This window comes from Homo sapiens, chromosome X (assembly GCF_000001405.40).
Source record: "Homo sapiens chromosome X, GRCh38.p14 Primary Assembly".
NCBI lineage: Eukaryota > Metazoa > Chordata > Mammalia > Primates > Hominidae > Homo > Homo sapiens.
The window spans coordinates 4,543,801-4,554,396 of NC_000023.11; the positions used below are offsets into that span (position 1 = coordinate 4,543,801).

At 43.7% G+C, this 10,596-nt stretch overlaps 1 annotated feature.

Annotated features, from left to right (window-relative positions):
* Nucleotides 1,943-3,142: an enhancer, noted in NCBI's record as "CDK7 strongly-dependent group 2 enhancer chrX:4463784-4464983 (GRCh37/hg19 assembly coordinates)". NCBI's record gives its function as "activates an origin of replication core promoter dependent on BRD2, BRD4, P300/CBP, MED14 and CDK7 cofactors, with strong dependence on CDK7, by STARR-seq in HCT116 cells {active_cell/tissue: HCT116}" and the evidence as "EXISTENCE:reporter gene assay evidence [ECO:0000049][PMID:35650434]".

The window sequence follows — 10,596 nt, forward strand, 5'->3', positions numbered from 1 at the left end:
AGAGTTCCAGGGTCTCTGGGAGTCGCTGCCAGGTGAGTTGAACAGTCTGATTTCCAATGGGGTCCCGCACAGATGGGACACGGCTTAGGAGGAATCCTGGGCTGCAGGCATTTCTTGGCTTGGTGGCCAGATTTCTGGCACTTGTAGCAAGCTCCTGTGGGAGGAGGTTCTGGAGGAACGCCTGGCTGCTGCGGTTCAGGTGTTTGGAAGTTCTTGTTTGCTGGAGATGTGGCTGGGGTTTGTCTCACAGTGGAGGCAAGGAATTGCAACTTTTTTTTTTTTATTATTGTACACCTTGAAGGCGAGGTTAATTAAATCCTGTTGTGGAGTTTGAGGGCCGGAATTTAATTTTTGGAGTTTTATTTAATATCGGGAGCAGATTGGGTAATAAAATGTATATTGAGAATAAGACGGCCTTTTGACCTTTTAGGGTCTAGGGCTGTAAAGCGTCTCAGGGTTGCTGCCGAACGAGCCATGAACTGGGCTGGGTTTTTATATTTGATGAAAAAGAGCCTAAACGCTTCTGATTTGGGATAAAGAAAAAGGAGCATTAACCTTGACTATGTCTTTAGCTCCAGCCACCTTTTTAAGAGTAAATTGCTGGGCAGGTGGGGGAGGGCTAGTCACGGAACGAAACTGTAAGCCGGACCAGGTGTGAGGAGGGGAGGTGATAAAAAGATTACAGGGTGGAGGAGTGGAGCCTGAGGAAGAATTGGGACCTAGCTTGGCGTGGAGAGGAGGGGAGAGGTCAGATGGGTTTGTAGAAAAGGAAGATTAGACACACTCAGCAACGCCTGGGGTTGGGACTGAGGGGACAGGTGGGAGGGAAAGAAGGAAGATTTGGGACGAGTTGCACTGGGCACAGAGACTAGGAAGGGACGGATGTGTAAAAGAATGCCTGGACATCAGGCACCTCAGACCATTTGCCCATTTTTTGACAAAAATTATTTAGGTCTTGTAGGATGGAGAAATCGAAAGTGCCATTTTCTGGCCATTTAGAGCCATTGTCAAGTTTGTATTGGGGCCAAGCGGTGTTGCAGAAGAAAATGAGGCATTTAGGTTTTAGGTCAGGTGTGAGTTGAAGAGGTTTTAAGTTCTTGAGCACACAGGCTAAGGGAGAAGGAGGAATGGAGGATGGAAGGTTGCCCATAGTGAAGGAAGCAAACCCAGAGAAAAGAGAGCGTAAAGACACGGAGGGAAGGGGTTTGGGGTTTCTTGCCCCCTAGAAAAGTGGGACTTGCTGCTAAGGGTGAAGGAGAAGGGGTTAAGGGGTACTTGCCCCTGCCCCAGGAAAGCAGGACTTGCCACTAAGGGTGAAGGAGAAGGGGTTGGGGGGTACTTGCCCCTGCCCCCTAGAAAAGCGGGACTTACCGCTAAGGGTGAAGGAGAAGGGGTTGAGGGGTACTTGCCCCTGCCCCAGAAAAGCAGAGAAGGGGTAGAGACAAGGAGAGAAGGGGTTGGGGTACTTGCCCTGTCCCCAGAAAAGCAGAGAAGGAGTAGAGACACGGAGAGAAGGGGTTGGGGTACTTGCCCTGTCCCCGGAAAAGCAGAGAAGGGGTAGAGACACGGAGAGAAGGGGTTGGGGTACTTGCCCCTTCCCCAGAAAAGCGGGACTTGCTGCTAAGGGTGAAGGACCAAGGCAGTTGTCCCTGCGTGGTCTGACACCCTTGAAACGTGGGTGTATAATCAGAGAGGCATCCCTGCAATGATTAAACACCAAGGGAAGGCTGCCTTCCCAGTCTGTGACCAGCGCCGGAGTTTTGGGTCCACGGATAAAACGTGTCTCTTTTGTCTCTACCAGAAAATGAAAGGAATTGAAATTAAGAGAAGGGAGAGATTGAAGTGTAGTGCCAAGATTGAAAGGAGAAAGTGGTTGAGGGATAGTGAGGGAAGTTGGAGAAGAGAGTAAAAAGAGGCTGCTTACCAGATTTGAAATTGGTGAGATGTTTCTTGGGCTCGTCGGTCTGAGGACCTGAGGTCGTAGGTGGATCTTTCTCAGGGAGCAAAGAGCAGGAGGACGGAGGATTGATCTCCCAAGGGAGGTCCCCCGATCCGAGTCATGGCACCAAATTTCATGTGCGTCCATGTGAAGAGACCACCAAACAGGCTTTGTGTGAGCAACATGGCTGTTTATTTCACCTGGGTGCAGGCGGGCTGAGTCCGAAAAGAGAGTCAGCAAAGGGAGATAGGGGTGGGGCCGTTTTATAGGATTTGGGAAGGTAATGGAAAATTACAGTCAAAGGGGGTTGTTCTCTGGTGGGCAGGGGTGGATCTCACAAAGTACATTCTCAAGGGTGGGGAGAATTACAAAGGACCTTCTTAAGGGTGGGGGAGATTACAAAGTACATTGATCAGTTAGGGTGGGGCAGGAACAAATCACAATGGTGGAATGTCATCAGTTAAGGTGGGGCAGGGCATATTCACTTCTTTTGTGATTCTTCAGTTACTTCAGGCCATCTGGGCGTATACATGCAAGTCACAGGGGATGCGATGGCTTGGCTTGGGCTCAGAGGCCTGACAATGACCTGCTCTGTATGTCCTCATGTAACATTATTGCCAACGAAATAGATGCTCTGAAATACAACTACTAACTTAAACTAACTCTGAAATGTTTCATCTCTGCTCTGATTCATGCCATAATTATTTTCAAACAGAGAGATAAGCAGAACTCCGAACTGTTAAATCCCTTAGAAAGCCCACAGCCCAGTGCACCCTTAAAGAAAGGGAAATAGAGCCGGGTACAGAGGCTCATGCCTGTAATCCCAGCACTTTGAGAGGCCGAGGCGGGAGGATCACGAGATCAAGAGATCGAGACCATTCTGGCCAACATGGTGAAACCCCCGTCTCTGCTGAAAATACAACAATTAGCTGGGTGTGGTGGCACGTGCCTGCAGTCCCAGCTACTTGGGAGGCTGAGGCAGGAGAATCGCTGGAATCCAGGAGGCAGAGGAGGTAGCAGTGAGCCGAGATCGCGCCACTGCACTCCAGCCTGGCGACAGAGCGAGACTCCGTCAAAAAAAAAAAAGGGAAATAGGATCTGATGAAAGTGTGTATTGGCCCCACATCAAGCAGCTATAATTCACAGAAGTAATGCTAGAAATGTTGCTGCCTGGCTTTTAGCCCAGCGAGGTTTCCAAACCTCTCTTTAATTACAACAGACCTACCTCAACATTCGGCCATGTAATCTGTAGCTCAAATGTCAACATCATTCTCAGCTAAGCCATGCAGTAGAGAAAGGCTCAATTATGTTTCTAAGCTTGGCTGCACCTTAGAATCACTTGGAAGCTTTGGAGAAAGAAATGCCTCTGAGTCCCACTATCAGAGACTTACTTAAGTGTTTTGAAATGCACCTGCGGAAATGTGAAATTTTAAAGGTTTCAGGTGATGCTAATATGCAGGTAAGTCCAAGAACTCTACGTATTCCTAGAAATGTGCGTTCCGTGGTCACCCATGATGCTTTTCGCATGGGCTATCACTATTTTTATGCGTGCATCGAGCATGATACTTTATGTAAGCGCGGGACATGTTAATATGCATTGTAAAAAGTTGCCTTGCTAATGTTCAATGCACATTTGCATAACCTCTTAGTGCCATCTTCATGGGGCATGCCATATCAGACAATGGCCAGCAGGTGGCGATGTTGATTTGAGTTGCTGAGAAGTGAAATTTTCCTTAAAAATCTGGCATCTTCAAGTGACCCCCTCAAGGGCTTTGCTTTGTTTTAACTACACCTGCCAACACCTGGAGAGGGTCAATTGTGCATAATGAGCGTTCATATGGAGGTGCCGAAACCACAACTTTGTCATGGTATTTGTTCAAACCATGCAAATGCTTCAATCATCTCTATTTGTTCAATGTTTAGGGTGCCATGAAAACATAAATATCTAAATGCAGTCTTTCCAGACAGATATTTGGTGATGGGCATTGATTCCAGAAAAGGGGCATTCTCCGAAAAGATGCTGAGGAGGAGAGCAAATATAGCTTTTGTGAAGAAATGTTTACCCGGGTGGGACAAAGAGAAGCACAATTGAGGCTGGAAGTTGAATCCAGCTGAAAAGAGATGCATTTAGCCTAATTAAGTTAATGGACCCTTCACTGAATTGAACAGAATTTTTAGTTCCTGTACATTAAAAAAATGGAACACCACCAAAAAAAAAAAAAAAAGATGGGAGAAAAGAATTAGATTTTCACCCATCAGAGATGAATTTGAAATGCTAATATGACCAGGTTAGAACTAGGAAAAAGACATAACTGGGAATATTTTTGGAGCATTCACTTAGTTCCCAGATTCAGTGAAGTGGTTATAGACAGCATTGTAAATCGTATTGGCTGGATTTTTCTTCCACACATAACAGTACAGGCATTAGACTATTAATTAAGTAACTCGTTCATTCATTGAAGCTAGATCGAGCACCTACTGTGTGGTAAAGACTGCATACTGTGTAGCCCTATGGAGACTAAAGGAGATTACTTTCAGTTCTTTCTGTAAGTTGTTCTTCCACCTCCGGTGCTAGATCTAAGGTCACCTACCCATCAGCTTGGTCTCTATCCCCTTCTCCATGTTAATAAATATTCCTGACATATAATAAATTTATGGACAGAAACTACAACTTCACTCAGACTAATTATTTTAAAGGATATGTCTATCTTTAAAAAACGCATTTGAACATTTTACTGAAAGCCAGCAATTTAAACTTAGTGTTTAAACAGATCAACTTGAAGCCCTTCTTTACAAAATAAAAAGTTTAGCCTTCTAGCTTAAACTTAGGATGTAGAAAGCTTGTAAGAAGATCATCGCTCCAACAATCACGGCAAAATCAAGGACACATCATAAACTAAATCTAAAGTTTCTTGAATCTGTCAGAAAACTCCAGTTTTAGGGTATGGTGGGTAATATTAGGTGTCAACTATTGAGGGACGCCTAGACAGCTGATAAAGTATTGTTTCTGGGTGTGTCTGTGAGGGTGTTGCCAGAGGAGATTGACATTGAGTCGGTGGGGTGGGAGAGGAAGACCCACCCTCAGTGTGGATGGGCACCATCTAATTGGCTACCAGTGTGGCTAAAGCAAAGCAGATGGTTAGAAGGTGGGAGAAGCTGGCTTGCTGGGTCTTCTGGCTTTCATCTCTCTCCCATGTTGGATGCTTCACTCTGTTCCTCCTGCCCTTGGACATGAGACTCCAGGTTCTTTGGCTTTTGGACTCTTATTTATTTATTATTTATTATTTATTATTATTATTATTATTATTTGAGATAGGGTCTCACTCCATCGCCCAGGCTGGAGTGCAGTGGTGTGATCTTGGCTCACTACAACCTCTGCCTTCTGGGTTCAAGCAATTCTCCTGACTCAGCCTCCCAAGTAACTGGGATTACAGGCACCCACCACTACACCAGACTAATTTTTGTATTTTTAATAGAGACAGGGTTTCATCATGTTGGCCAGGCTGGTCTTGAACTCTGGGCTCTGACCTCAAGCAATCCACCTGCCTTGGCCTCCCAAAGTGCTGGGATTACAGGTGTAAGCCACCGTGCCTGGCTGGTTTTTGGACTCTTGTACTTACACCAGTGGTTTGCCGGGGGCTCTTGGGCCTTTGGCCACAGACTGAAGGCTGAACTGTCAGTTTCTCTGCTTTTGAAGCTGTTGGACTTGGAATAAGCCACTACCAGTTTCTGTCTTTCCCAGCTTGCAGATGGCCTATGGTGGGGTGTCACCTTGTGATGGTGTGAGCCAATTCTCCCTAATAAACTCCCTTTCATATAGACATAGAACCTATTAGTTCTTTCCCTCTGGGGAACCCTGACGAATATATAGTGCAAACAATCAGGCTGAAATACAAGGAAAGGCAGGCGTTTCTAAGGTGAGATGGGATGTGTGTACATCTTACCTTGAACAGACACAGAAAACACACAAATGGATAAGACACATGTGGAGAAAGTCTTAAAGGGCTTGCTGAGGCTGACAGTGGACTAGCATAAAGTTGTAGGACCTCTGGGAGATGCAGCCACAAGAGGAATTTGCAGCTGTCACCGAGTCTTCACAAACTTTACCTGTTACCTACTAGGAAGACTGGGGACAAGTTGAGGGAACTGAAAAAGCCCCCAAGATGATGTCTTGGGAGAGTTGAACAGTAGTGGCAGAGACTCTTCTCCATGAGTCTCTTGTCCTCCATATCTTATGGGTGTGCTAAGTAAGAATGCCAGGTGCTGACCACTCTTTCCCTAGAGTATTTCTCAGGGTTGTGGCTCTACTACATGTTCGACCTTGAAGGAGCAGGTGACATCTTCCTCCAGGACAAAGAGCAGGCTCTGCTTATCGGGGGTTATGAAGTGGCCGACTTTTCCCAGGCTCTGTATCTCCCTCCTATAAGGCAGCCCATAGCAGGTGTAGGTTCCCATCCAAGTTCATCCTCAGCACCCCCTTGTGGTCCTGAGAAAAAGAAGCTGATGCTCTGGCAATGGCTTTGCTGGAAACAAGTCTCTAGTCTTAGACCTAAAAGTTCTGTGTCTTCTGCCAGCATCCATAGAATGGCAGCATTGCAGCAAGCTATTTTATTAACTTGCAAACAGGATATACTCCCAGACTCTTCATAGTTCTTGATGGGAAGTCACTCCTGGTTTGCAGTTTGCAGGTGGAACAAAAGTCTTCAGTTGCAGGAAATCCTGTGCAGCTGAAGATCCTCTGTAGCCTTAAGAAAATAATAATAATAGTTTTATTATGTGTTATACTATATATAATGAGTATTATATACAATATACACAGCTGACCCTGGAACAACATGAGTTTAAACTATGGGGATCCACTTATCAGTGGATTTCAGTAGGCTGCTAGCTAAGTTTTGGTGGAATTAAAAGCTATATGTGAACTATTTTTGAGACGGAGTCTCACTCTGTCACCCAGGCTGGAGTGCAGTGGCACAGTCTCAGCTCACTGCAACCTCCCCCTCCCGGGATCAAGTGATTTTCCTGCCTCAGCATCCTGAGTAAGCTGGGACTACAGGCATACACCACCATGCCTGACTAATTTTTGTATTGTTAGTAGAGATGGGTTTCACCATGTTGCCCAGGCTGGTCTTGAACTCCTGACCTGAAGCGACCTGCCCACCTTGTCCTCCTAAAGTGCTGGGATTACAGGCGTGAGCCACCGTGCCCAGCCTATATGTGAACTTTTAACCATACAGGGGATTGGTGCCCCTAAGCCTCGCCCTGTTCAAGGGTCAACTGTACACAATCATATAATATGAATATAATTGTATATAATTCATTGTGTATACTATATATAGTTATACATATATTATGTACAATTTTATACCTTATATTCTATATTATGTCATGTATAATATATTTAAATATATAATATATAATATATATTTTATAACATTAATTAGCAATATTTTTTGTTTTTAATATAATATAGTATGTTATATATATCTATATCTATCTATAAAATCTACCATGTATCTATGTATCTTCTATCATCTATCATCTATCATTTATCTATGTCTCATGTATCTATTACCTATGTATGTATGTATGTATGTATGTATCTATCTATCTATCTATCTATCTATCTATTTATTATCTATCTATCCCTCTATGCTGGTGAGGGGATGAGAAGGGCACTTTACCTCTGTGGTATTTGTTCCCAACATTCCCTAACCCCACTCTAATGATAAGACAAACAGGAGACAAATGTGGCATGGGAAATATTCCACAGACTACTTGAACAGTACTCAAGACTGTCATGAAAAAGCAAGGGAAGTCTGAGAAAGGGCCACAGACAGGACATGGGGGAGGGGTGACAAGTAAGTGCAGTGTGATCCCTCAATGGGATCCTGAGACAGAAAAAAAAAAAAAGTTCATAAAAAGCCGGTGGAATCTGACCAAAGGTCTGAAGTGTACTTAGGAGTGCTGTGTCAATGATGTCGGATTCTTAGTTTTGACAAGTACAGCACAGCCACATTAGATGTTAATAATGAGAGGAACTGCTTGAGAGTTGCACAGGGACTTCCTGTACTCCATGGCAATCATTCAATCAAGCCCATTTAAAAAATTCCGTTTTAAGAAATGCACAGTCTGGTACACCAAACCAACAATCCAATTAAAAAATTGGCAAGTTGTTTGAATAGAGACTTTACCAAAGATGTTACAGAATATAGGCTCATGAAAAGATGCTCAACATCTTTAGTCCATAAGGAAATGCAAATTACTACCACAGGGAAATGTTACCACGCATGAGTGTGAATGTCTAAAATTTAAATCAACATACAAGAACAAAAATACTAAAACAAAACCCTAATGATATGAAGCGTCAGTGAGGAGGGGGAATAGCAGAGAACCCTCATATGTTGTTGGTGGGAACGCAGAATGGTACAAGCACAGGAAAACAGAGCGGTGGCTTCTTACAAAACTAAATATGCAAGTACTACTGAAACAGGAGAGTTCCCTGACCTACCCTGCAGGACGTGTAACAGGGGTGTGGCATGTCTGTCCTGCTGCCTTGGCTCAAACCCCTTGTGGAAGGGGAATCACACAGACAGGCAGACGCAGGAGCTGGAGCAAGTGCTTTTGGGCTCTGACTCCATGGTAGCTTCTAGGGGTGGGTGCCTGCAACTCCTGAAGTCCCAGTGGGTGTGTTACAGTGCTCTTTTAGCTCTGCCATCCACAGACCACTTAAGTGTTAACCAGCTCAGTGCCCTCTTGGTACCCAGGTTCTTGTCTGGCATCTAGGAAAAATCAGGACACACAGACAAACTGAAGAATAGTAAATGCAGGGGATTTTATTGCCAGATGGAGGTGGCTATCAGTGAGATGGATGAGGAGCTGGAAAGCGGATGGAGTGGGAAGATAATCTTCCCCTGGAGTTTGGCTGTTACATGGCTGATGTCCTCTCTGACCATCCCCAGCCAAACTCCTCTCAATGTTCAAATGCTCCTTCTCTTCTCTTCTTCTCTCCTTCTCTGCTGCGCTGTTCTTCTGCTCCTCTGCTCTTCTGCTCATAGAGCCTGGGGTTTGGGGTTTATATGGGTACAAAATAGGGGGGTGTTGTGGGCCAAAAGGCAACATTTGGGTGTGAAAATAGGAATACCTGTTTCCATTTAGGGCCATGGGTTTCCAGGCTTGAGGATGTGGCTTTTGCCAGGGAACCACCCTCTTCTACACAGTATTTCCCTGCCTCCTGTCCATATCACTACCCGACCCAATATGACCCAGAAATCCCCTCCTAAGTGTTGCCAAAGAGAAATAAAACATTAGTGTCGGTTAAAAAAATACCTGTCATTGAGTATTCATTGTGGCTTTAATTGTAATCATGAAAAAATGGAAACAACACAGATGTTCTTTAATGGATTTGAGGATTAAATAAAACAAAACAAAACTGGAGTATATGTATAGAATGAAATACCATCCAGCAATACAAAAGGAACTAATTGCTGATATATGCAACAATGGGGGAACCTCAACTGTATTAACCTATGTGAAACAAGCCAATGTCAATAGGGTGCGTATTGCATTACCCATTTATAAAATATTCTGGATAATGCACTATATGGAGAGATTAGTGGTTAGATTAGTGGTACCGGTGGGCTGAGGTGATAGCAAGGGGTTATTGTCAAAAGGTCAAAGCATGATGTGTAGGTTGAGACACTACTTTATGCATGGGTTATATTGTCAATATGCTTACTATTTTTATCAAAACTTGCCAAACCTACAATAAAAAGAGTGAGTTTTACTTTAGATACCAGATAACCACAATTATTTTTAAAATCATCATTATGAGAACACCCACAAATATATGAAACATATAGGAGGTGCCAGGCTTGGGGAAACAAAATTTAGAAGATTTGGTTCTCACAATTCCCTCTGTGAGTTAGAAACCACGATTTATCTTCAGCATAGAAGAGAAAACCAAAGCTCATAATGGGTTGACCACACGTCCTCGGTCACACAACAGAGAATGCTCAAATGCAGATTGGATTAGCTCCAAAGTCCATACCTTTCTGAGTATCTCTCTGCAGTTCTTACTTTCCAGCACAATCATAAAGCTTTGGGGGAAAATATGGAAAGCAGAGAGTTCAAAGGGTAGTGAGACAGGGGCACACATAATAAATTTGTTACTAAAAAGAATAATTAGTCATATCTCTTTGACATTACATGGGGCTGTAAGACTGTCAGTGCTCTTGATAATAAAAAATGTATTGAAAGACTTGATGGGAATGAAAATGCCTCAGATGAAACATATAGTTTTGTTTTATTTATTTTTTATTGTCGATTTTTGTGGGCACATAGTAGGTTTATCTATATATGGGTTACATAAGATGGGTTACATAAGATATGGGTTACATAAGATACAGGCTTTCAATGTGTAATAACGACATCAGGGCAAACGGGGGACCGTCCCCTCAAGTATTTATCATTTGTGTCCAGTCATTTGCAACAACATGGACAGAAGTGAAGGTCATTATGCTAAGTGAACTAAGCCAGACACAGAAAGGCAAACTTTGCATGTTCTCATTTATGTGTGGGAGCTGAAAATCAAAACAATTGAACTATGGAGATAGAGAGTAGAAAGATGGTTACCAGAGCCTGGGAAGGGTAGTTGG